Genomic DNA, 25,408 nt, shown 5'->3' with positions numbered 1-25,408 from the left:
GTGACTATCAATATTCAGCCTAATGGTGCAAGTTTGTGTGTTCCTATTGTGAATCCGTACATTCAGTCCTGTGCTAAATTGCATGGTTGTATCTGTGTGTGTGTGTGTGTGTGTGTGTGTGTGTGTGCACACCTGTTCTCATGCCCACACCACTCTGTGTCTGCATGGGTCACGTGGATGTCTGACCTCTGTGTGTACACCCTGCCTACGTGTTGTGGGTCTGAGGATGAGTTCTCCCCAGGGCCTAAGAAGGTGGTGCTGCAGGACAAAGGGGTTGCTCAGCTGCAGATGTTTCTACCAGTGGCCATGTCTCAGCCCTAGTGTCCCACACAGAATCTTAAGAGTGATGTCAAGACTTCCTGGGGGAAACTTAACTCAAACACAAGAAAATTCTGACTCAAGACCAAACCCATATCCCTGTAGAAGGTCTAAAATTTCCAAAGCAGAGAAAAGAATTATATCTTTCCTGCTTCAAACTGCTTTCCAGCCCAGGCCAGCATCTAACATTTAAAGGGCACCTAAATTGCATGCCTTATTTCATCTGTGGAGCCTCAGAGCAATCCTGAAAAGCAGGCATTATTGTTCTCACTGTAAGATGCACAAACTTAGGCTCCAAGAGGCAATGTGGCTCACACAAAGTCACAGGGCTGCTAAAGGACATGGTGGGATTGGGACTTTGATTTGCTGGGTGACAAGCTGATAACCTAGAAGCCTCGCTACTGCTCTACTGCTGATGCCCCTCAATTCAGCACAGACATGGGAAGACGGTTTCAGGAGCCCCAGCAGGCCCTGGCCTGCCCTTGAGACCTACCAGAAACAGGGCCAAGGGCTCTCTTTGCTGTGCCAGCCAAAGCTGCTGCCTCCATAGACCCCCATCCCACGGTAATGAGGGGAATGATGAGTGAAAACTCACAGGTCCTGTGCCCTTGGACAAATTTTGGGTCCCTCATCTAGGCAATGAAGATAATAATCTCAGTGCTCTCTCACAGGGCTGAGAGGTACAGGTAAAAGTACTTGCTAAAACACTGTGCCTGTATGTATACCTATGTAACAAACCTGCACATTCTGTTCATGTATCCCAGAACTTAAAGTATAATTTAAAAAAAAAAAAAAAATCCGTGCCTGTTGGTCATTGTTCTTCCAGCCTCAGTGGCAATTCCAAAGGCTGGAAATCAAAACACCTGCCCGCTGTCCAGACTTCCTTCAACAGGAACTGAGACAGATTCACAGAATCACAGACCATGAGAGTGAGAAGTGCCAGAGAGGTCGACTGGTCCAAACCTCTGCAATCCCACGCTACAGGTGGAGAAACTGAGATTTAGTTAGAGAGGGGGAATGCCTTGCCTGTCACTGAACAGCAACAATGGAAACGACCAAAGTAAACACCTATCTGAGAGCTTTACACCCCCGTTGTCTCACATAACTATCTGACCTACCTTAGTGAGACAGGTGGGCTGCCTATAGTACTGTTATTCCCAACATACAGGAAGGAAAACCAAGAGCTAGGAAGGCTAGACCAGAGTTACTCTTGCCCAGGGAGATGATGGCAGCTCCAGGTTGAAAGCCCAAGCTTCAATATCACACAGGCCTGGTTAGGGCTGGCACGAGCATGGACTTCACTGCGGAATTCCCAGTCTTCCTCCTACCTCCCAGGCCTGGGAAAGGTGAAAGACCTGGGCTGCCTCAAGGTGACCATTCCCTGGGCCAGAGTCCAGGAAAGCCCAGTATCTCTAGCTCGGTTCAGACACAGAGCTCCATCGCAGCTCTTACAGCTAGGGTGGGACCACGGAGCCTGCTCAGGACAGTGGCCAATGGCAGGATAAGGGCCCTGCTCTGTCCCACTCCTTCCCTGGCTGGTCCTAGGGCATTCAGGGCCCACATGATCAAAGTCTGTGCCCAGGGTGACCCCTGTCACTGTCAACTCTGTCCCAGCCGCCCTGGATCGTTCCAATGGCAGCTGCCACCTGAGCCCCCAGCAACTTTTTTCAATCTAAGGATTTATTCCACAGACCTGATTTGCCCAGTGGGGCCCTAGGTGGGCCCCCAGCTCAGTTCTGTGATCTGGGACCCCAGGGCCCTGTAAGCTATAAATCCACTTGAGGCTAGATCCAGGAGAGAAAAGAGGGAGGACTGGCAGCTGAAGACTCCCTGGGACCCAAGCCTCGGTGTGGGGAAGAGGAGAAAACACAGCTCAGTACCCTCAGCCTGGGGCCCAAGGTCGGGTAAGAAGGCACAAAGGAACTGCAGTGAGGTCCGACTCCACTCAAGATCCTTCAGGGAGTCCTCAAGGGCTGGGGCGTGAGGAGGTAGCTAAATTCCACTGCCCACCTTTCCAACAAGGCCTCCTCAATCTCAATTCCCTTTTCAGCAGCTCCAGGCAAGTCCGGGCAAACTCTAGCCCAGGGCTCTTAGCGAGGCTGGACAGCTCCCGGCCTGCACGCCGGATTTCTGGAGAGCCCGAGCCCCTTCCCTGAGCCCATCCTTCTCCTCTCCCGGGGCGTGATCCCACCACGACCACAGCCGATGAGCCGTTCAAGCTGGGAGAAGGAGCGAGAAGGCTGCAGCGGCGCAGGTCAGATACCCCTGGGCCCAACGTCCACCCCCAACTAGCGCCCTTGCCAGCAGCGTTTTCCCCGGAGCCACAGTCTCCACCTCGAGATCTTCTCCTTCTGGAACCCCGGAGCGCGGCCGGGTACCAGGGGCTCGCGTAGGACTGTAGAACCGCTGCCGCCCGCCGTCCCAGCCCCAGCTGCCCGCGCGGTACTCACCTGGGCCTCAGTGCCCGGGAGAAGGTGTGCCCGCGCGAGGCGTGAAGCCAGAGTCCGTCCGACTCCGCCCGCACCGGACGCGCTCTCAGGGCAGAGGAGGTCGGCGGAGTTGTGACGCTGGGACTAGAGGAAGGAGAAGGAAAGCCGAGACGGGCCGGGCAGACGCGCCGAGGAGCGCCCAGTGCACGCTGGCAGCCGCGGGAGGCGAGGCGGGCGCGGTGAGCAGTCGCGCCGGAACCGAGCCGCGAATCCGCGCCGCCTCGCGCTCGCAGCCGCCAGGACCCGCGGGAATCCTGGTCCGCCGGCAGCGGTACTGAGGAGGGAGGGGCGCGGGGCTGAGCCGCTTCTCGGAGCCCGAGCGCCTCCCGGAGCCGGCAATCCCTGCTGCCCGGGCGGGATGCGGGCGGGAATTCAGCTCGCGTGGAATGTGGGACCGGCCGGGCTCGGAGTCTCCAGCGCTGGGGGAAAGCGGGGCCCACACAGCCAGGACGAGAGGGGGTGCGGTCCCAGGGCCACCCCCGCGCCACTCCCCACGTGGCGGCCGCGCCCCCGGGGCGTGAGTGTGTACGCGGACGGTAGGGGGGCCGTGAATGAAGCCCCAGCGGCCAATCAGCACGGCCGGCGCGCGGGACCCCGGGAGCGACGCCCAATGGAGAGCTCTGGGCGGCCGGGCAGGGTGGCGGGCGGGCGCGCGGGGCGGGGGCCGGGCAGGGGAGGCGGGAGGCAGCTCCGCGGGCAGCCAATGGGCGGCGGGCGGGGTGGGGCTCCGGAGCGCCGAGCGGGTCGGGGCTTTAAGCCGGCGGAGCGAGGCGGCGGGGCCCGCAGACGGAGCGGAGCGGCGGCGGCGGCGCGGCGCAGGGCGCGGGGCGGCATGGCCACCACCGCGCAGTACCTGCCGCGGGGCCCCGGTGGCGGAGCCGGGGGCACCGGGCCGCTTATGCACCCGGACGCCGCGGCGGCGGCGGCGGCGGCGGCGGCCGCGGAGCGATTGCATGCAGGGGCCGCGTACCGCGAAGTGCAGAAGCTGATGCACCACGAGTGGCTGGGCGCGGGCGCGGGCCACCCCGTGGGCCTAGCGCACCCCCAGTGGCTACCCACGGGAGGAGGCGGCGGCGGCGATTGGGCCGGCGGCCCGCACCTAGAACACGGCAAGGCAGGCGGCGGCGGCACCGGCCGAGCCGACGACGGCGGCGGCGGCGGAGGTTTCCACGCGCGCCTGGTGCACCAGGGGGCGGCCCACGCGGGCGCGGCATGGGCGCAGGGCAGCACAGCGCACCACTTGGGCCCGGCCATGTCGCCCTCGCCCGGGGCCAGCGGGGGCCACCAGCCCCAGCCGCTCGGGCTGTACGCGCAGGCGGCCTACCCGGGGGGCGGCGGCGGCGGCCTGGCCGGGATGCTGGCGGCGGGCGGTGGCGGCGCGGGGCCGGGCCTGCACCACGCGCTGCACGAGGATGGCCACGAGGCGCAGCTGGAGCCGTCGCCGCCGCCGCATCTGGGCGCCCACGGACACGCACACGGACATGCACACGCGGGCGGCCTGCACGCGGCGGCGGCGCACCTGCACCCGGGCGCGGGCGGCGGCGGCTCATCGGTGGGCGAGCACTCGGACGAGGATGCGCCCAGCTCGGACGACCTGGAGCAGTTCGCCAAGCAGTTCAAGCAGCGGCGCATCAAGCTGGGCTTTACGCAGGCCGACGTGGGGCTGGCGCTGGGCACGCTCTACGGTAACGTGTTCTCGCAGACCACCATCTGCCGCTTCGAGGCCCTGCAGCTGAGCTTCAAGAACATGTGCAAGCTCAAGCCGCTGCTCAACAAGTGGCTGGAGGAGACCGACTCGTCCAGCGGCAGCCCCACCAACCTGGACAAGATCGCGGCGCAGGGCCGCAAGCGCAAGAAGCGCACGTCCATCGAGGTGGGGGTCAAAGGCGCGCTCGAGAGCCACTTTCTCAAGTGCCCCAAGCCCTCGGCGCACGAGATCACCGGCTTGGCAGACAGCCTGCAGCTGGAGAAGGAGGTGGTGCGCGTCTGGTTCTGCAACCGGCGGCAGAAGGAGAAGCGCATGACCCCTGCGGCCGGCGCGGGCCACCCGCCCATGGACGATGTATACGCGCCTGGGGAGCTAGGGCCTGGCGGGGGCGGCGCATCGCCACCCTCCGCGCCCCCACCGCCCCCGCCGGCGGCGCTGCACCACCACCACCACCACACACTGCCCGGCTCAGTGCAGTGACCCCGCGGGCCGGGCCCCCGCCGGCGCGCTGCAGGGCGCGGGCGCGCAGCCCGCCCGCGCGGCCTGGACTCTTTTTGTTCGGTTGCTTTGGATTTTACAAAAAAAAAAAAAAGCCCAGAAACTTTCGAACAAAACCAAACACCCGGACGACCCTCTCCGGTGAGCGGCGAAGACAGCCCGGTAGGCTGCGTCGCCCGAGCCCCGGGAGAGAGGAGCGAAGATCCGGAACTCGCCAACTCACCCCGGGCATCCTGCCCGCCGCCTGCTCTCTGCCCCCATCCCCTCGACGACCCCCGCCCCTGCCCCCCCGGGCTGTTCGGGGCCGGATCCCGGCAGCGGCCTCCCCAAAGCGACAGGTAACGCAGTGCGGGGTTAGGGATTCCCCGGGAGAGAGGACGAAGCGAGGAGAGTTCTCCATCCCCTCTCCCCGCGTGGACTCCTGAGCCTGCGGGTCCAGGGTGGGGGGCTGTCACTTTATTCGCTACACGCCTCTTCTCTCCTATAAGGATGCGCCCCACCCCGCTTTCCCCTTTCTCCGGGCTTGGTTTTTTACGGTTTTTATTTATTCGTGGAGCCTCTCGGCTCCTGGGGTCCTTCTAACTCCGCCCGCGCCCTTAATTTAAATCGCAGTATACTGTATTTATCGGGGCCCCGGAGGGGAGGTCGCGAGAGCCGCGTCTGTGTATAAAAGCAGGAAATAGCCAAAGCTTTAATCTAGCCTAATTTATTTTTCCCCTTATATTTCCCTACCCTACCCTCCCCCCAAAAAAAAGCAAAAAAAAAAAAAAAAAACTAACAAAAAAAATTCGAGTGTTCATTTTTCGTTTCGTTTCATCCGAGCCCCGGCTTGGTTCCCGGCCACGCCGGAGGGGTCTGCGCTCCCACACACCCAGACGGGAAGGGGCTTCTGCCCTGCTGCAGACCGACCGCCGCATAGCGCGGCCCCTGCTCCCCGCGGGGCCCTGCCCTCCTGGCCACACCAAACGAAACTTGGAAAAGTTAGAGAGATTGTTTTTTAACCAGCTGTAGAAATAAGCCGTTCCCTGAGAACCCTCCGCCTGATTCCCTGCAGCTTCCCTCTGCTCCCTTTCCAGCCCGCCGGGATGCGGGATGCCAGGGGAGGCCGGGAGAGAAATTCCCCAAGTTTGGGGTGAGGTGGGAACCATGTAAATATGTGAGATATGTACACACTGGCGGGGAGAAGAAACATTTTGTGCTTGGTTTTTATTTTTGGTTTTCCGGGTTACCCTTCCTTCCTACCCTAAAGGATTTTGTACACTGACTAATCCGAAAAAGATATTTTAATATGATTTCCGAATTTCTGACCCATCTCTATTTATTTTCTGGATGTGTTTGGAGCTTCCCCCTTCTCCGTTTCTTCTTCTGTTTGTTAAGGTTTGAATTTAAATTTTGTTATTTTATTTTTATTATTTTTTGAAACAATGTTTCGGTGCATTCTCTTTGTATCTTTATTGAAAAAAAAATAATGTAGACTGGGAAGTTCCCTTTATATTTATGTTATAGTAAATATTTTATTACTCACATAAACATGTACCCCAGGGCTGTGTCCTGTCCTTTTTACTGCTAGGGCTGGGTGGGTTTTTGGGGTGAAGCGATGGGATCCCCTGCTTCACCTCCCTGAAGTTCTGATCTCACCAGGAGAGATCTTGGAGGAAGATGACCCTGCAGACCTTCCAGGTGGATATCAGGACATGGGCAACAGTTGGGCCCCTGCCTCAGATGCATCAGTTTAGGGAAGATGAAGCTGCCTCGTGTCCCCCTGTCGTAGACAGACTCTCCTAGACCAAACCAGGGCCCGGGACAGTGAGCCAAAGACACCACATGGAATTCGGATCAGCCATTGTTCATGCACAACTCGACTGCTCTTCTCCACCAAGAAAGAAGCCCACCTCGGCCTGGGTCACCAGCCTAGAATCTATAATCCCCCACCTGACACCTCAACCCCCAACTTTCATTTCACCTTGCACTCTATATGAGAGGTCTGAGCCAACTTTACCATTCCCAGTCCTAGGGCACCTGGAAGCCTGGTGAGGCCCCACCATCCTACTCCAGCAGGCTCTCCACCCAAACTCAAATGGTGCCCAAGCCCCCCTGGATGCACTGGGAGTTCTAACAGCTTAGACAGACGTGGCTTTCATGGTCCTACGTGAGCTGGGTCAGCCTAGGGAGGGAGCCCTGCCAATTTGCTTGGGCAAAGCCGGTCTTATGTCTCTGCAAACAAACCGCTGCCCCAGCTTCTGTTGGGGAGAAGTGGAGGCACGGGTAACTGTGCCATCAGAAAGACCTGATATCTTCTTTCCAAGGTTGGGTACCCAAGACCCTCATCACCGCCACCACTGCAGGGAGTGATAGGAAGGAGAGCACAGACCTCAGATGCTGTCTTCTGGAGTGAGTCAGGGTATCTGGGGGCAGATCTGGTTCCCGACGCAGAGCTCCAGACTACCTGGGTTCCAGTCAAGACCTTATTTTCTCCTTTAAAACAACCCTTCTTAAAAATACTGATAAAAGAGCTCTTCCTGCTTCCTCCGTAGACGCAGTTCTTTTCCCCTCTCAGGAGAAGCCACATGCGGTTTCTCTCACTCTTTGTGAAGCCAAAGCTTGAAGGCACAATCTCTTAGCTGGGGAGAAAGCTGACCCTAGTGAGGGGGCGTGTGGGGCCCCTCCTGCCAGGGAAGCGGCCCAAGTCCAGGCCTGTGAGAGGCCTGGGCTCTAGCTGACGGTGTCAGGGATGTCCAGAGAGGTGTCCCCAGGGCCCCAAGTTGGTGCTCCCCGGCGGGGCTAGGGCCTCGGGATGACTGTGCCATGCTGAGAGTTCCTGGCGACTTTCTGCGCTCGGCCCTCACTCTTGGGGGGAATTGTCTCTGCAAGTACAAAGGCTGCCTCGGCTTCTAGAGGCCCAGCCCCTCACTCCCTGCTCCTTTTTTCTTCTCCTCCTCAGCTCAGTCCAGCCAGGTGAGTGAATAGCCCTGTAATTGGCACCTGTGTCCCAGCCGTTCCCCACACTGGTGGGCCAGGCAGCCTTCCCTCCCATGTTTCCTAAAGAGGAAGCTGGCAACATACCGGCCAGCTGGGCAATGGCATAGCCAGGAGCCACTGACCACCCTGCCTCAGCCTCTCATTTCCTACTCCACCAAGAACAAAACTTTGAAGCCGCCACACACTCCTCCCTGCTCCCTCATTTCTCCATTCCTGGATTTGTCCCAGCCTCAAGGCTCTGAAATGGAAGCAAATGAAGCTGAGAGCTCCCGCCGCCTGCGCGGCCCAGAGCCTCAGCAGGTTTTGAGGTTGGAAAGGGCCACCGGGAAGATGAGGCCTTTCACCGGCCTCTGCCTGCAGCTGACACCAATTGATTGATTGATTTCCTAATTGTCTGCTTAATCCTCTACAAGAGGGTGGGTTTATTATTTAAGCAAGTCAACTCAAAAATAGCAAAACAAAGCAGCCTCCCAAGAACCAGCAGCAGCTGAGGAGTAGAACAAAAAAAAATGAGAAAAAAAAAAAGTGGAAAAAGGGATGGAAGAAAATCTTTTACTTTGCAAGGATCTGGCTTAATGAGATACCAGCATGAGATAGCTACCTGGTGATCAACCCCTTGGTCGCAGAAGGCCCCTACATGGTAGGAATCTCAGCACTTTATAGGAAAGAGAAATCTTTTTCCCTGGATAGAATAGAGTTAGGACAAGCACAGCCAACTGTGGGCTTGATGCAGTCTCTCCGTCCCAAGGGTATGTATATCTACCTGCTTGTGCCTGAGAGCCTCAGACTTCCTTTTGTTCAGGAGAGGTATGTGTCCCTAGCATCAACCTCCAAGGAAGTCCAAGCTTTCCCTAGCATATTGGGAATTTTCTGATCCCATCTCCTTCCGCATCTCACTTGAACAAAATTATTGTTTATGTTGATGTGGCCACAGATTATGGTAGTTAGAACTCTCTCCCCATGTGAACCTCTGCAAGTTGGTGTAAGAATTTGTGTGTATGCTGTTGTGTGTGCAAAGCCACAGCCAATCCCAGAGGTAGGAGAGGGAAAAGAAAACCCAGGCTACACTGCTAATGCTTTCAGCAGGAAGAATATTTGTAGAATGGAGGTTGGCCAATACCAAAAGGAAGGAAAATGGTCATCTTAGTCACCTGCGGTCATCAAGGCAAACCCAGAAGGTATCCTGCCTTGAGGCGTGACGACATTATATTCTCCCCCACCTACTGCCCAGAAGGTTGCACTAATTTATATGTTGCATGCCTTAGGTCCTATGCAATCATCCCTTGACCTTAGGACTTGACTGGATGTCCATAGGACTAACTGACCCCCAATCGCAGGTGCCCACTTAGAGCCGTTTAGAACTCATCCTCCCCTGGAGAGGCTCTGGGCCTCCAATGACACATCCAGGGCCGGGCTGCCTCCCTCCCTGGAACTTTCCCTAGCAGGGCTTCAGCTCCAAAAAGGAGACCCACCTAAGCAGAGGGTGGAGTGAGAGGAGACTGGTTATCAGGCCTAGTTACTCTCCTAAGCTCAGCCAAGATGATCTACCCAGGGCCTCTGGCTCAGAGACTGAGACCAGAGGTAGCTGGAGGAGCCATCCGTTTTGTCCCTGCCTGTCACATTTGAAGGCTCTGGAGTTGAAATGGTGTTTGGCCATTTAGGGCTCCCCTTGCTGCCTCTTGAGGCCTCCATGTGGGAGGACTGCCCTCTATTGGTCCCTGAACTGGGACCTGGTAGCAGTTACCAGAGCCACCTTGAACCTAAGCATGCCCTTAAAAAGTCAGCTTCAAGTGGGCTGTTCGAGGAGGACTGCCAGTTAGAGCAGAGGCAACTTTAGCCTCCAAAAGAAGCAAGCCTGCCTCTCTCTCTCTCTCTCTCTCTCTCTCTCTCACACACACACACACACACACACACACATACATACACACACACACTAATCCATGACCCTTCCCTCTCATCTTCCACCCTGCCCATTCACACAGCCACTCTCAGAAACCCACGATCATACACCACCTCCTCTCTCTCTCTCTCCACTCATCCCCATCCCCATCACTCCTCCCCTCAACCAGTTAAAACCCCAATCCAGGCTCTCACCACCTTGCTCACTCACACGCATGCTAAGACACCCATGGTCACACCCACACCACAGTTTGGGCAGTCTAAGACTAGCTTTCTGGTCTTTGGCACTAAGCTCTTGAGAGTCACTGAGTACCTGGCACATGTAATATTTGATTAAGCACACACGGCCATCCTTTGCAACATTTGACCTGGTCCCCTTCTCTCAGGATTTCCAAGCACTTGCCCCTAAACTGCTTTCCAAACACATTCCTGTCCATCATTGTCCCAGCTCCTCCCAGATCTCTTCCGGCTCCTTTCAGATAATTAAAGTTAGGCTGTGTGTTTGTATGTATGTGTGATCTTATTTTTTAAACACACACCCCCACACATACATATGCGTGTATATATACAAACACACACAGCAATTAGATCTATCCATTCCTGCCGTAGTCCTTCTTGTGCAGTAAAACCTCAGCTATGCATATGCCCCCACATTGCTATGCAATGAACCCAGCATCACCTAGTCACGGGCCCCTGATGTCACACACACACACACACGCGCGTGCGCACGCGCGCACGCACAGTGGCACGTTCACATGGTTACATTGGTCTTTCTCCAAGGGCATGACCCACCTCCCACTACCCACCCCGCTCCTGGGCATCTGAGTGGGCTCTCCTCAGATGACCTGAGTACCAGGAGAGCTTTGCTCCAATCCCTGCCCCCAACACATACACACCAGTGGACATGTCTCCTGCTGAGCCTGACCAGGGTGGGTCTGGGTATTATTAGGCTGCAGAGACAGCACGGAGGCATATGGTCTCGTACACAAGAAATAATGTTCATGTTAAATCAGACCTCATGCATAATGCATGGTGCCTGATCTCACATTATTTTGGGTGTTCGTCAAAATCAGTGTTCTTTCTTATAAGGGCTCCTGAAAAGAAGTGAAAAGGCATTTGCTAATTACACCCACAGCCTGGACCCAGAGAGCTGGGAGTGCCCCCGGGAGCCTCCCTCTGGCCCCACTTCACCCACAGTGGGTCCCATCCCTCTGCCCCACTCTGTCTTCCCACTTGGAAGGAGGGGCTGCCTGGGGTTTGTGGCAGGCGTAAGGCCCCGTGTTATTTTTATTTCTTTTCTCTCGGCTCTCTGTCCCTGGAGGGTTCTGGGGAATAGCAGTGGCTCTGTCGCTCTCACACCCGATTCATTTGCCGTTTTATGAACTCCCCGTTGATTCATCGCCTCCCTAAGTCAATGATTCACTCCTGATGGCTTTTCAGAAATCCTTCTTCAAAGGCTCCAGATTATTCAGCTCTGAGCAAGAGCAAGAGCCGGAGCAGACCTGGACCCTGCATTACCACTGCTCCGTGGCCTGGAATGGGATATTGTCCCCATCCTTGGGCCTTCCCTGGAGCTGGGCTGGCCTGGAGAGGAGGGAGTGCTCCATCCACACAGAAGCTGGTAGAGCTGACCCAAGCAGCTCATGGACAGACCAAGCCCATGGCCAGGCACCCTCCAGCCTCTGTGGGTCACCTGCCTTCTCCCCTTGTCATCACAGTCCCTCCGGAAGCTATCCACGCCTCCGAGGAGGTAGAGAGCAGAATGGTGAAAGACAGGGGCTCTGGGACCAGACACCTGGGCAAAAATCCTGTCTCCACTTCTTATCAGTTTTGTGACTTTAGGCCAACTACCTACATTTCTGTGCCCCCATTTCCTGGTATGGTAACAAAGGCAGTTCCCTGATCATAGAGTTGTTTTGAGAATTAAGTGGGATAATATGCATATAGAGTTTACATAAGTGATGAATAAATGAAAGCTGGTTTTTTGTTGTTGTTGGTTTTTTTTTTTTTTTTTGGAGACAAAGTCTCCCTCTGTGGCCCAGGTTGGAGTGCAGTGGCGCAATCTTGGCTCACTGCAACCTCCACCTCCCGGGTTCACGCCATTCTCCTGCCTCAGCATCCCTAGCAGCTGGGATTATAGGTGCCCGCCACCACACCCAGCTAATTTTTGTATTTTTTTAGTAGAGACGGGGAGGTTTCACTATGCTGGCCAGGCTGGTCGCAAACTCCTGACCTCAGATGATCCACCCACCTCAGCCTCCCAAAGTGCTGGGATTACAGGTGTGAGCCACCATGCCCAGCCTGAAAGCTGTTTTATTGTGAGGCCTGAACAGGGCATTGTGCAGAAGCAAGTGAACAGGGAAGAAAACCATAATGTAATGAACTTTTACCATGGACCCCACTCTGTCCAAGGCATTCTGAGATACTTTCCCATCACTCCTTTGTGCTTTATTTTCACTACTTCACATTAATTATTTGTATTTTATAGATGAGGAAAGTGGTACCCAGAGTGACTTGTCCACGGCAGCAAGATTTGTTAATGACAGAAGCTGGGATAAAGCCCACTTTTTCTGACTCCCAGAGCCCACTCAGATGTCCTGGATATGGACCTGGGACATGGACTCCCAGGTCCATGGCACCCCCTGCTGGGGCAAACACTGTGTTCAGTGCTTGGGTATTTGCCCAAGGCAGGGGAGGTTCCAGGACTCAGGACTGGGCCAGGGAGAGAAGCTGGGGACCAAGGGTGATGGGGTTCATTGGCTAGAAGCTGCCCCTCCCTCCACTACCCCACTATCAGGGTGTGTTTTGAAAACAGAGAGACTCGTTTTTATCTATCTCTGTGCTCAACACAGGGCTCTTATCTTTCTCTGTGCTCAACTTAAATCTCATGAGGCTCAAGGAAGTTGTGTAATTTGCCTGGGATCATCAAGACCGTCAGGAAGCCCTTCTGATTGATCCACTCCAAGCCTCCATGTACTGCGCAGTTCCATGTAGCGCCTAAGAATGTGGGCCCTGGCAGCTGCCCAGACATTCATCCTGGCTGCACCACCTATTACCCTTGAGACTTTTGGCAAGATACTTAAGCCTTCCAAACTTCAGTTTCCTCATCGGTAAATGAAGATAATAATAGTGCCTTCTTTGTAGAATTGCTGTGAGGAGTAGATAAGAGATGATATATGTAAACACTTAGAAGACAGCCTGGCACATTGCAAGTGCACATTAAATGTTGGCTATAAAAATAATTTTATATGTACAACATATATTATTATATTATTGCTGAGCTTAAGCAGTGCAGAAAAATAATGCCTAGTGCTTCCCCGGCCTAGAATTATTTCTCTTCATTCTCAAAACCACTCCAGAAAGAAAAGCTCAAGATCCCCATCCCCAGCCTACAGGTGAGGAAACTGAGGCCCAATGATATTGAGGGCCTTAACTGAGATAACCCAGAAAACTAGCGATAGATACAGATTCTCAATCTATTCTCTACTTCTGCCACTTTGTAGCATTCCCATGACCTCAGTCATGTGCACTGGTCCCCTTCTATGGACTAAGGTTCTGTCCTAGGTTCTGGAAGACAGCACTCAGAGGGTCAGGGAAGGCCTCATGCAGGGTGGTACCATCAAGCTGGGTCATGAAGAATAAGTGAGTGTTTGCCTGGGGGCAAGGTGCAGGGGGGTCCTGGCTCTGGGCCTAATCCCAAAGAGCCAAAGTCACTCAGCCTGAACCCTTAGACTCCACTCATTTACTTTCTTGCCCTTCGCGGGACCCTTCCACCAGTAGCCCCCTGCCCTCTCCTTTAACTCCAGCACAGAAAATTCAACTCAGGGTCAAAGACCCTGTGGAGTCACACACCATAAGACTAAGTCTGTCTATAGATTCCTTTAAGTCTCAATTCCTGCTTCTTCTGCATCTCTGCCCAGAGGTTGACCACCAAACCATGCCACAGCACAACCAAGCCTCAAAGGTGGTGCCCAGGTACCTGCATCCAGGCCTCACTCCACTGTTCATCCCAAGTTGGGTCATTTGTCATCCCTGGACCTCAGTGTATGAAACAGGCATTCTCCCATTCATTCCTCCATCCATCTATTCTACATCCATCCACTCACCCATTCATCAACCCACCCACCCACCCATTCATCCATCTACCCACTCATCCACTCACCCATTCATCCATCCACGCTTCAACTACCTATTCAACCACTTACCCATCCATCTACCATCCGCTCATCCAATCATCCAATTTAACAACCAGGCCTTATGTTGAGCACAAAGATAGATAAGACCAGTCCCTCTGTTCTCAGAACACTCCTAGATTAGTCTCTTCCCTTCCCTAACTCTGAAGTCATATAGGGTAGGTATACGAGGGCCTACATGAAAAAATTGGGAGGAAACAATGAAGTTGATTGTTGCATCTATGCATCCTGTGTGTCAGAGACTGGGAACCTCCATGCCTCACTCATTTCTTGAGGGCCCCACAGAAAGTGTTGTCCATATGGACTCTGCATGGCCCTAGGACTCCCCTTAGCTCTATTTTTTTTTCTCTGTTGTCAAGGCTGGAGTGCAGTGGCGTGATCATAGCTCACTGCGACTTTGAACTCCTAGGTTCAAGCAATCCTCCCACCCCAGCCTCCCAAATAGCTAGGGCTACAGGGTACAGGCATGTGCCACCACGGCTGGCTAATTTTGTTTTCTTTCTGTAGAGACAGGGTCTCTCACTAGGTTGCCCAGGCTAGTCTCAATCTCCTGGCCTCAAGCAATCCTCCCACCTTGGCCTCCCAAAGTGTTGGATTACAGGTGTAAGCCACCGTGCCCAGCCTCCAATTCCTTACTCCAAGGACACAAGTGCTAACCTAAACTGGAGGGATTTCAAAGGAAGTGGGGAAGAGGAAGGAGTTCATGAACATAACTTCTGCCAAAACTGAAGTCACCAATGGGACTCGGTTTCTGTCAGAAATGGCAGCAGCATCTCCAGGAAGGTATAGGGAGATATCACCACCAGCTGGGGCCTGTCACCACCTAGCTGTATGACTTTGAGCAAGACCCTGCCATTCTCTGAATCTCAGTTTCCCCAGCAGTGCAGACTGTGGGGTCTATGGGTTTTCCCAGTTTGAGGTGGTCCTCCTCAGTTCTCGCTTCCCTTCCAGCCTGGGTGGGCCTGCTCCCCTGACAATGGGGCCTCTCTGGCCGGCCCACACATGAGGCGGGGTAGGAGATGACGTGGTTGGCGTCCAGGGCCTGGAGTCCTCTGGCTATTCAATCAACCCCCCTCCCCTGACACAAACAACCCTCAGTTGCCTCCCCCTCCCAGCCCCAGAATCTGGGCACAGCTGGGGCCTGCTCTGCCCTGGCCACCCCATGAATCACCCCTCTATGGTCCGCGGGGGAGTGGTCCAGGGAGCATCCTACGCCCCACACGGGGTGAGGGCCAGAATCTCGGCCCTCAAGCAGGCAGTGTCCACAGGAACAATGGGGGCCTGTGGCTAACAGCCGGAATGCAGCCATTGTCCAGCCCTGGCCCCCAACCCCAAGGCCTCAGGTCCCCAGGCTGGGCAAGCTGGCGTGGGTCGGTGCGTCAGGCGCTCGTGTACCAGGGCCGGGGACACATGGCCTCCTACTTCCCCTCACTGGGGAGGCAGGCGGGTAGGCTGATGGGCCAGACCCACCTCCACACCCAGCCTCACAAAGAGTCCCATGCACAGGGTGAAGAGAGGCAAGATGGGGTGGATGGAGCAGACTCTCGGAAAAGGGGCCTAGCAGCTCTAAGACCCCAGCTATACATCACAGTGGGGAGGGGGACCACATTAGAATAATGCAGGATTAAAGTAGGGTTGCTATAGCGATGCATGAGGGCAATACATCTAGGGAGCCCAGCCCCTTGGTGATGTATGACTCTGCCTGGCTGTGGTGAGCAGGGGGAAGGGATGTGTCCCACCCCAGCCTCCAAGGGGATAGCTGACACCAAACATTCTCTTCACCTGGGGGAGAACATCTGCCTTGAACTCCAAATATAGACATCTCAGAATCCTGTCAAGACTGAAGGAGACGCCCTTCCAACCCAACCTCCAACATCTCACTTTAGTCCACGTTCAACTCGGCTCCAACTTCAAATCCCAGCTCTAGCCTCAGCCCTGGCCTCTGCCCATCCTCAAACTCAGCCCCATGGGGTCATACAAAGCCTCCATCCCAGCCCCTTCAGGCCCTGTCCTTTCCACTCCACTGCTAAGGACCATTCCTATTCTGTCTCCCCCAGTACCTGAGGAGATTCAGAGGACTCTATGCAGGGTGGCAGCCAAAGGACACAAAAGGGAGGAGGTAGGATCACCCAGAAACACTCCTCAGCCACACCACCTGAAGCTGTTAATTTGAGAGAAGCCTGGAGAGTTTGAGGGCACATGTGCTGTCCCCTCACCCAGATGCCTCCTCATGCCCATGCCTGGGTGCCCCACCCTCATCTCATCCCAGGCGGGAGCTTAGCTTCCTGCCCCAAACTCTCAGGGCCACCAGAAAGGTTTAGGGGTGGACCAGCCCTAGTGAGAAAATTGGATGGTGCTCCCAGCAAAGGAGTATTCACCAGAAAAGCTTCACACAATATATGTAATATGACAAAGTCGGGCCTTGGGCTTCCTTTCAGCTGCTGTGTCATTCACACTGGTTTGCCCCTTCTCTGAGACCCTGGACCTCAACCCTCTGGGGATTTCAGGGGAAGAGTCTCTTCAGATAAACCCCTTTGCTACATCCACCTTAGCATCTTGTCAAGGGAAGAGGTGGGGCAGATAAACCCCTTCAATAATCCTAAGTGTGGGCTGGTCTCGGTGGCTCATGCCTGTAATCCCAGCAGTTTGGGAGGCCAAGGTGGGCAGATCACCTGAGGTCAGGAGTTTGAGACCAGCCTGGCCAACGTGGAGAAACCCCGTCTCTACTAAAAATACAAAAAAAATTAGTTGGGCATGGTGGCAAGCGCCTGTAATCCCAGCTACACGGGAGGCTTAGGCAGGAGAATCGCTTGAACCCAGGAGGCGGAGGTTGCAGTGAGCTGAGACCGCACCATTGCACTCCAGCCTGGGCAACAAGAACGAAACTGTCTCAAAAAAAAAATTAATTAAAAATAAATAAAAAATAATAATCCTAAGTGTGGCCCAGGCATGGTGGCTCATGCCTGTAATCCCAGCATTTGGAGAGGCTGAGGTGGAAAGATCACTTGAGCCCAGGAGTTTGAGACCAGCCTGGACAACATAGCAAGACCCTATCTTTACAAAATATTTTAAAAATTAGCTAGGTGTGGTGGTGTGCACCTGTAGTCCCAGCTATTTGGAAGGCTGAGGTGGGAGGATCACTTGAGCCCAGGAGGTCAGGGCTGCAGTGAGCCACAATCGCATCACTGCACTCCAGCCTGGGCAACAGAGTGAGACCCTGTCTCAAAAAGATTAAAAAAAAAAAAATGACACCCTGGCTCTGTCACAGCTCTGGTTCCGTCACAGCTCTGGTTCCAGCCTGAGCTGGAAGATGCTGACCATAGAAGTCACCCCTCCCACCAGAGGAGGATACAGGTCAAAGGACAAGGCAGAGCAGGGGGCACTGCCCTCCACATGAGCATGTGCATCCACTCCCATGCACACACATGCAGAGGCATACGCACATATACCTTGGCCCCATCCATGCTGGTATCCCCACAGTGGAAAAACCTCAGCCTTTTTTTTTTCTGTCACCCAGGCTGCAGTGCAGTGGCCCGATCTCTGTTCACTGCAACCTCCGCCTCCTGGGTTCAAGTAATTCTCCTGCCTCAGCCTCCCAAGTAGCTGGAACTACAGGTGCCCATCACTATGCTCAGATAATTTTTTTTTCTTTTGAGATGGAGTCTTGCTCTGTTGCCCAGGCTGGAGTGCAGTGGCGCGATCTCAGCTCACTGTGATTCTCCTGCCTCAGCCTCCTGAGTAGCTAGGACTACAGGCATGAACCACCAAACCCAGCTAATTTTTTGCATTTTTAATAGAGATGGGGTTTCACCATGTTGGCCAGGCTGGTCTCGAACTCCTGACCTCAAGCAATCTGCCCGCCTCGGCCTCCCAAAGTGCTGGGATTACAGGCATGAGTCACCACACGTGGCCTCGCCCAGCTAATTTTTGTATTTTTAGTAGAGACGGGTTTTCACCATGTTGACCAGCCTGGTCTCGAAATCCTGACCTTAAGTGATCCACCTGCCTCGGCCTCCCAAAGTGCTGGGATTACAGGCATGAGCCACCGCGCCCGGCCTTTTTTTTTTTCTTTTTTCCTTTTTTATTCTTGACATGGAGTTTTGCTCTGTCACCCAGGCTGGAGTGCAGTGGTCCCATCTCCGTTCACTGCAACCTCCGCCTCCCGGGTTCAAGCGATTCTCCTGCCTTAGCCAGCCTCCCGAGTGGCTGGGATTACAGGCACGCGCCACCATGCCCAGCTAATTTTTTGTATTTTTAGTAGAGACAGGGTTTTACCATGTTGCCCAGGATGGTCTCAAACTCCTGAGCTCAGGCAATCCGCCCACCTCAGCCTCCCAAAGTGCTAGGATTACAGGTGTGAGCCACTGTGCCTGGCTGAAACTCAGTCTTTATTCCTGATAGGGAAGAACCCAGAAAGAGGGTCTCTTCTCTCCCTTTCATCCTATGCCTCACTTCTCACATTCACACAGACATATACTTTCACACACAAATACACACATATTGTACACATGCTCCTACACGTGGCAGAGAAAAGAGAAAGACTAAAGAAGAAGGTAGGTAGGTGGAAGACAGTGTGTGCCCAGAGGGCAGTTCCTGGGGAGGGGGTGTCAGGGTGCCCAGGGCATGGAGTGGGCAGGAGCCTTCATGGCTTCCTCTCTTCCCTAGCCAGCGACCAAAGGTCAGCCCAGGCAACTCAGCCACGTGCAGTCCACCCACCCTGCCTGGTCAGGTCATGTGAGACCAGGACCGAAGCCTCATCAACACTCCATTGTCTTCCAGAGCCCAGCCTTATGCTGAACCTAACAAGCCCCCTCCAGCCCAGGACTGGTTGGTGGCCCTCCAGAACCTTTGGTTCCGTCCTGAGGGACCCTCTGCAGGGGTCTCACAGTCCCTGCCTTGAGGACAAGCTGGGTGATGTTCAGCCAGATCCCAACCCTCTCTGGGACTTTACATCCCCTTCTGAGAAACGGGGAGGCGCTGGCCTTCCATTTGCACAGAGAAGGCCTAGGGTGAGGAGTGGGGAGCAGGGGAAGAAGGGCCCTCTTTCTCATGTTCCCTCTGGGGGCACATACCCCATCCCATGCCACCTCCTTGCCCATTCTCCAGATGCTCAGCAGGGAAGGAGAGCACAGCAGAGGGCCGAAGCGCGGCCCTGAAGGTCATCTTGCACGTCAGCACTGGGGCAGCCCCAAAACCCCTTGCGCCCTGGCTCCCCGCCTGGACCACAACACAGGCTCCATTGACTCCTGTGCGCCCTCCTTCCCAAGATGCACACAAAGCCGTGGGCTCGTGGTTACTGCCCACGGGCCCCTGAGCCCCACAGGACCCACCCAGGGAAGGAGGCCAGAGCTGGCTGGCTGGCTGCAGCTCCTAAGGGGCTGGCAGGAGGGAAGGATCGTGCACCTACGCAAGAATCTCCTGGTTCTGGGCAGAAAGCCCTCATAGCCGACCTCTAGGCCCTGTTCTACCCAGGCTGGAATGGAGTCAAAGACCTTGAGGACCCAGCTGGGACAAATTCTCTGCCAGTGCCACCTCTACCCACCCTTCATCCTGTTTACATCTTGCAAACACAAGGACATTCACCCCTGCCACTGAGACTAAACCTGGAGCAAAGCCGCCCTGGCCCACCCTCTATCTCCCATAAGGGAAGTCAGGTGGGGAAAGATGCTTGTCTGGGGGAGGGGGACTGGAGGAAAGCTGGGGCTGAGAAGCTCCAGCCCCTCTGGGGGCTTCAGTTAGGGGAGGGCTGCCCCAGCAGGATGACAGAGAGATGATTAAACCCACAGAGAAGATTGATAAGGGAGCTAAACAGCTGCAACTCTGCAAGGTAGGCTGGGACAAATCTCATCTTGTCCTGGCGGCACTCAAAGCACTGGGGGGCTGGGCCAGCCTGGCTGAGCTCATGACCTACACAAGCTCCAGAGCAGGAATGGGGGCAGGGGTGGCAGGCTGCTCCCACCTTCTTCCTCAGGGCCCAGCCCCCATTCCTGCCGCCTCAGAGCTCCCTCCCTGAACAACACCCATTGGCACCTAGGCGGCGTGCCCCTCCTCCCCGGTGCCCCTTCACCCACAGCACCTCCGTCTCAGCTCTCACTCTCGGTATTATTAGATGTGATTTACAGCGGAAACGCTGAGTCAGACAAACCAAGACTTCCCCAGACAGAGGCAGTGGGAGAAGACAGGAAGAGTCCAGGGCAGCTGGCCTCCCTGGGCAGGGTCCTCAAAGGGAGTGAGGAGATGGGGACAGGGGTCCCCAGCTTCCAGGATGAGTGGGAAGTTTGCCCCTCCTGTTTCTCCTTTCTGTCCCAGGCCCAGGATCTTCATCTGGGACTCCTGGATATGCAGACCCCTTTTCTGACTCCCAAGCAGCCTCTCAGCCTGTCCTGCCAGCCCCTGTCTCTTCCTTGGCAAGTTTGAGAAAACAGCCCAGGGATCCTGGAGCCTGGAAACAAGGTGGTTCTGCTGGGTCCTGTTTCCTCACAGCAAGGCCCCGGTTCAGAAGGCAGCCCCTGACTCCCAGAGATGAGAGGCAGGAAAAGTGCATGGCTGGGGTCCCAGCCCCCTACTCTACAAACAGAAACACGGGCACTGTGTGCTCCTGGGGCGTCCAAGGGCCCTAGAACCGGTGGAGAGCACACATTTCTGCTTCCACCTTGTGCGGAAGAGCACAGTGGGCAGGTCCGTCTCTGCTCCCTGGGTCTCTGACTCCCTGGCAGGGAGGAACTGGGCATTGTTGCCAAAAATAAACGTTCCCTCTCCCGCTCCCTGGCTCCCGGCTCCCGCTCATTAGGATGCGTGGCGTTTGGCTGCGGTCCCACACCTTGCAGCTCATTATAAATATGCAGTCGCTGCTGGCGCTACCCCAATCATCTCTGCAATCAGAGCTTTTAATTAGGTTAATTAAATTGTATCAAATCTCGCAGGGACGCAGTTCACTGATGCTGATGAGGCAGCCAAAACAGACCCCAGCTCCTCCGCTAATGAAGGCCGCTGCCTGCCTGAGCCATGAGGGAGCAGGAGCGCATAATAAACGGGCGCGTCCTCTGGGAGGAGCTGCTGCCCAGGCCGAGCTCTGGGGACCTGGCAGGGGGTCTAAATCAAGCAGTCCAGGCTCCAGCTGCAGCAGAGGCTCCCAGCCCAGGAGCCGGCCCCTTCACACAAGAACCAGGGCAGCTTCAGGAGCCCAGGCACTGAGAGCCTGCCACGCTTACATAGCAAACTTGAGGGGGCCCCAAAGATCCACTGACTCTGTCTGGGACTCCTCTTTACTTCTCCCCCAGAATGGCCCAATAAGGCCAGGGCTCCCTCTCCTACACACCTATATACACACACACATACACATACACACACACACACACACACACACACACACCAGCAGTTAGCCCTGTCACTGCCCCCGGATTGTCTTATTAGCCAGAGTGGCCAGGCTGAGACTAGAAAGCCCATCCTGCCACTGCCAGCCTAGTCTCCATCTGCTATGGAGACCATCTGCCCCTGGCGGGGGGCTGGGGTGGTCTACAATGCTACCAGCCAGCAAGAGGAGGGGGTGCTGCCCCCTAGGCTCCATGTGCCAGATGGACCTTCTATATTCCACCTACCACTCCACCTCAAGAACCCTCTGCCAGGGAGGGACACCTGTCCCAGACCTCCTGGGATCAAAATAGCTAGGGAGGGGAGATGGTCCCTTCCTTCCCTGGTCCCTCGCCACCCTGAGTTCACTGTCCCATGCCCTGGCAATCCATCTCTGGGCACTGGAGACCACAGGCTTCAGAGCTGCAGGGCCCTGCAAAGGTCCTCCCCTGCCTATAAGCAGGAAGGCAGGTGCTGCCACCTCCAAAGGGGCTGTCCCCAACACTCCACTCAGCCTGACTCCAACCCCTCCCCTTAACCCCTCCATCACTGGTCTCAGTGTCTCTGAGCAGATGAGGAGAGAGGATGGGGAAATTTTCAGTGCTCTCGGGACAAGTTGTTTCTGCTATAGAAGCTGGTTTTTTTGGTTTGGAAAGGTGTTTTTTCTTTTTTCCACCCAGTAATGTGAAAACATGAAACCCGAAACCAACCCCCTACATTTGTCACCTCTGAGAGAAGCCTTTGGGGTAACTGGGAGAAAGCTGTAAATGACTCAGGCTGATTCAGGGCAGGGGGGTGCTGCCCAGCTGCCTGGGGCACCACAGTTTCATTAACCCGATCTGAGCATGGCCGTCAGGTGACAGATGCAGGGAGGGGAAAGGAAGCCCTTTCCATCCTCTGCTTACCCCTAAACACAGCAGTTCCCTTGATATATTCCTCTTGCCTAGAAAAAGCTGGGTCCTTAGCTCCGTTCTGGACGAGCCTCTCCTACCACCACGCAGGAGCACAGGGCTGGACTGTGCAACCACCCCAGCCCCAAGCAGTTTGTTCCCTTTGCATTAAGCGAAGCGGACAAGATGAACAAGGAGACCTAGGTGTATGCTTCACCTAGGAGTAGACTGGACAAGACTTCCTAAATGTGATGATGATGGATCCAGGAATAGGGAGCCAGGAAATTCCTTACAGGGAGCCTGAGAAGCAGCGGAGACGTTCTTCCCTCTGGCCAGAGCAGTTGAGGAAAGAACAGGCAGAAGCATGAACTAGGCAGCCTCCTCTACACTCCAACCTCTCAGCAGTAGGCTTGGGAAGGGAAGCTCTGCCTCCCTTTGTTTTACAGCTTCTCTCTGATCCTTCCCTGCACTTTTTGCTGAGACAGACCTGTGGAGACCTGGTTGGGTACAGAGGGCGCACCCTCTGACCCGGGGAGGCAGCTGCACAAGCCCAAGAGGCCTGCCAGGTCCACTTCAAGACAGTACTTCAGGTCCGCCCCCAATTCCTCCACTCACCTGGGGCTTTGAGCCAAGACTCCCACCCACGATTCAGCCCGCCCTTCCCCAACACCCTGCACATAAGGCTCCGGGAACTGGCACGCTGGGAGAACTTGAGCGGGGAGCCCAGCACCACACACCCACTTGCCTCACTGTTTCAAGTCCCAACAGGCCCTGGCCTCACCGGCCTCCACAGGTAGGCAGAGCGAGTCTGCATCTGTTGGCTGCCTTCCCTGCTGGAGGACGTGCAGCTCTAACTGCTCAGTGCCCCACCGTCAGCAGCATGGGGGAGAGGACAGTGAGCGACAAACAGATGCTTAAAGCTGCACGGAGGGAGACCCCTCCCAGGTCTGGGTGGAACCACCCTATGGGAAACTTGGGGCTATGTGACAGAGACCTCCCTGCATGGTCCTCACTAGAAACAGGAAGGAAAAGCACCTTCCTGCCCAGTCTTCCTCCTGGGGCCACACTCATCTCAAACTCAGGGTGAGAAAATCCCATTTCTTCATGGGAGCTCTCCCCCCTAGCATTAAATTCAATAAGCAAACACATGCAAGTACTTCCTAAGTACAAGGACACTTTTGAAAGAAGACAAGTGTGCTGGGTGGGTGGACACCAAGTCCCTGAGAAGGAATCCCAGCAAAGGGGCAGCAGCTCCACCTGCTGGGCCCTTTTCCACCCTGGCACCAGGAAGCAGTTAGAAATCAGAAAAAGATTGGCTAGGAGCAGTGGCTCATGCCTGTAATCCCAGCACTTTGAGAAGCCAAGGAGAGGTGGATCGCCTGAGATCAGGAGTTCGAGACCAGCCTGGCCAACATGGCGAAACCCCGTCTCTGCGCCTGTAATTCCAGCTACTAGAGAGGCTGAGGCAAGAGAATCGCTTGAACCCAGGAGGCGGAGGTTGCTGTGAACCAAGATCGCGCCACTGCACTCCAGCCTGGGTGACAGAGCAAGACTCTGTCTCAAAGAAAAAGATGAACTTATTCAAGAATAAAGCTAGGGCTTGACACTCTCCTGCTTTGGTGGGAAGGGCCCTAGGATGCAGCAACAGACTAAGACTGAGCCAGGCTTACTGAATTCTCTGTTGGACAGACCTGAAGGGTCCACATCACCATAGAACTGCTGTTTGGAGACTTGGTTTGTACAAGAGACCTGAGCCAAACAAGTCCTGACTCAGAAAATCCCTCCAGCTCCATAGGCTGCCCACAGCCCCCTTGGCACAGCTAGAGCAGTATGCCACCAACAGCCCAAATCACCCCTAGGCCAAAAAGGGCGGCTAAGCAAACAATACTCTTCCCTCCCCAACAAGCCAAGAGTCTAGGGTCCCACTGAGTACCAAAGCGGCAAAGCCCTGGCCAATTCTCAGAATACATGGGGCTGGGGCCTGTCTTTGCTTAGTCACAGGGACAGCCAATCTCTTTGCTTAAAATCCTTGAGTCTTGGAGACAGCACTCAGTGTAACAGCAATTCAGAACACCCAGCTCCCCTTACAGCACTCCGATTACCTTCAGCCTGGAACTCACAGTACACCAAAAGGATGCACTTTCCTGCTCCATTTGGCCTGGGAGTGTGGCTCTTCAAACGTCACTGTTTGTGCTCCTGTGCCAGACGGTGTGTAGGTATGCCTGTACCTGTTTATGAGGCCTGAGTTATATGTGCCTTGTGCATCTGTGAACATGAGATTCCATGAGGCGAGCCTACCTTCATGTGGGTGTGTGGTTCGTGAGAAGGCATTTAGGTCTATTCCCTATCCTCTCCCCCACTTTCCCACCCAGCAGGGGCAAGAGACGGAGCAGCAGCATCCAGCTGTTTGACCCCAGGATCAGACTGCTGCTTAGTCTGCTCACTCCCCTGTCTAGTATCACTATGATGAGTCCCTTCCCTGGTTTGATCCTCAAGTCTCTAAAACTTTCAGCATTGACTGAGCTCAGCACCTCCCCAGAAGGGAGTGCATACACACAATGGGAAGCATTTCCTTCCTGAAGGCAAAACCTACTGGTTTCTGTTTCCTGACCCTTCTTGCTGTTTTCCAGGGCCCCTGATTTAAATTCCACTGGGTACACCCTGAGGAAACAGGCTTCTAGTCTAGGCTTGTACAGGAAGCTCACAGTCATGGGCACTTATTAAGCATTAACAATTTTCTTTTAAAGCCTTACAATCCACACATGGCTGTTCTCCCTCCTTGGTGTAAGGGCTACGCAAGCCCCCCAGAACCCCGCTCCCTGTTCTCCCATGTTTGCTCTAAGCATGTTCAGTCCTGTCCTTACTGTCCTTGGCCTATAATCCTGATATGGGCAAACAAAGGAAGGAGAGAACCAGAGAAGAGAAAGAAGCTGGCCAACACACCCAGGGGTCCATATTCCCAGAGTGAAGGTCTGCACCAAGCTATTCTAGCCTTGGAATTGTGAGTTGGCATGGAGTGCAGAGGACAGAGACACAGCCAGGCCTATACTGATTTGAGCTTCATCAATAAGGAAGAGGTGCTCC

General features: G+C 55.1%; 1 protein-coding gene and 1 long non-coding RNA gene across 3 annotated transcripts in view, besides 11 other annotated features; one reads left to right on the top strand and one right to left on the bottom strand.

Annotated features, from left to right (window-relative positions):
- MIR3659HG (MIR3659 host gene) overlaps window positions 1–3,249 on the bottom strand; it is a 72,397-nt gene extending 69,148 nt beyond the window's left edge. For both annotated transcript variants that reach the window (NR_168386.1, NR_168387.1), the window contains exon 1: window positions 2,769–3,249. This is a non-coding gene — a long non-coding RNA (MIR3659 host gene). The remainder of the gene's footprint in view (window positions 1–2,768) is intronic.
- Window positions 2,286–2,786: an enhancer, noted in NCBI's record as "H3K4me1 hESC enhancer chr1:38513269-38513769 (GRCh37/hg19 assembly coordinates)". NCBI's record gives its function as "activates a minimal SCP1, AML or CMV promoter by ChIP-STARR-seq in naive H9 embryonic stem cells {active_cell/tissue: H9 hESC(naive)}" and the evidence as "EXISTENCE:reporter gene assay evidence [ECO:0000049][PMID:30033119]".
- Window positions 2,787–3,287: an enhancer, noted in NCBI's record as "H3K4me1 hESC enhancer chr1:38512768-38513268 (GRCh37/hg19 assembly coordinates)". NCBI's record gives its function as "activates a minimal SCP1, AML or CMV promoter by ChIP-STARR-seq in naive H9 embryonic stem cells {active_cell/tissue: H9 hESC(naive)}" and the evidence as "EXISTENCE:reporter gene assay evidence [ECO:0000049][PMID:30033119]".
- Window positions 2,787–3,529: a biological region, named in NCBI's record as "H3K4me1 hESC enhancer GRCh37_chr1:38512768-38513268".
- Window positions 3,200–3,529: a silencer, noted in NCBI's record as "silent region_686". NCBI's record gives its function as "represses an Ori minimal core promoter by ATAC-STARR-seq in GM12878 lymphoblastoid cells {active_cell/tissue: GM12878}" and the evidence as "EXISTENCE:reporter gene assay evidence [ECO:0000049][PMID:35858748]".
- Window positions 3,590–6,554, top strand: POU3F1 (POU class 3 homeobox 1). Its single transcript, NM_002699.4, has one exon. The coding sequence runs from the start codon at window positions 3,640–3,642 to the stop codon at window positions 4,993–4,995; it is 1,356 nt and encodes a 451-aa protein (NP_002690.3). The 5' UTR covers window positions 3,590–3,639; the 3' UTR covers window positions 4,996–6,554.
- Window positions 18,632–18,926: an enhancer, noted in NCBI's record as "tiled region #3132; HepG2 Activating DNase matched - State 8:EnhW". NCBI's record gives its function as "activates a minimal TATA promoter and a strong SV40 promoter by Sharpr-MPRA in HepG2 cells {active_cell/tissue: HepG2}" and the evidence as "EXISTENCE:reporter gene assay evidence [ECO:0000049][PMID:27701403]".
- Window positions 19,668–19,727: an enhancer, noted in NCBI's record as "active region_785". NCBI's record gives its function as "activates an Ori minimal core promoter by ATAC-STARR-seq in GM12878 lymphoblastoid cells {active_cell/tissue: GM12878}" and the evidence as "EXISTENCE:reporter gene assay evidence [ECO:0000049][PMID:35858748]".
- Window positions 20,428–20,507: an enhancer, noted in NCBI's record as "active region_784". NCBI's record gives its function as "activates an Ori minimal core promoter by ATAC-STARR-seq in GM12878 lymphoblastoid cells {active_cell/tissue: GM12878}" and the evidence as "EXISTENCE:reporter gene assay evidence [ECO:0000049][PMID:35858748]".
- Window positions 21,641–21,690: an enhancer, noted in NCBI's record as "active region_783". NCBI's record gives its function as "activates an Ori minimal core promoter by ATAC-STARR-seq in GM12878 lymphoblastoid cells {active_cell/tissue: GM12878}" and the evidence as "EXISTENCE:reporter gene assay evidence [ECO:0000049][PMID:35858748]".
- Window positions 22,510–23,061: an enhancer, noted in NCBI's record as "H3K4me1 hESC enhancer chr1:38492994-38493545 (GRCh37/hg19 assembly coordinates)". NCBI's record gives its function as "activates a minimal SCP1, AML or CMV promoter by ChIP-STARR-seq in primed H9 embryonic stem cells {active_cell/tissue: H9 hESC(primed)}" and the evidence as "EXISTENCE:reporter gene assay evidence [ECO:0000049][PMID:30033119]".
- Window positions 23,062–23,614: an enhancer, noted in NCBI's record as "H3K4me1 hESC enhancer chr1:38492441-38492993 (GRCh37/hg19 assembly coordinates)". NCBI's record gives its function as "activates a minimal SCP1, AML or CMV promoter by ChIP-STARR-seq in primed H9 embryonic stem cells {active_cell/tissue: H9 hESC(primed)}" and the evidence as "EXISTENCE:reporter gene assay evidence [ECO:0000049][PMID:30033119]".
- Window positions 23,781–24,280: an enhancer, noted in NCBI's record as "H3K27ac hESC enhancer chr1:38491775-38492274 (GRCh37/hg19 assembly coordinates)". NCBI's record gives its function as "activates a minimal SCP1, AML or CMV promoter by ChIP-STARR-seq in primed H9 embryonic stem cells {active_cell/tissue: H9 hESC(primed)}" and the evidence as "EXISTENCE:reporter gene assay evidence [ECO:0000049][PMID:30033119]".

The sequence above is a fragment of the Homo sapiens genome, chromosome 1 (assembly GCF_000001405.40).
Source record: "Homo sapiens chromosome 1, GRCh38.p14 Primary Assembly".
Lineage (NCBI taxonomy): Eukaryota > Metazoa > Chordata > Mammalia > Primates > Hominidae > Homo > Homo sapiens.
This window is presented reverse-complemented; position numbering and strand designations above follow the sequence as displayed.

Bases quoted from the DNA above. Each gene is read 5' to 3' on its own strand.
- POU3F1 (NM_002699.4), top strand. From the start codon at position 3,640: ATGGCCACCACCGCGCAGTACCTGCCGCGGGGCCCCGGTGGCGGAGCC.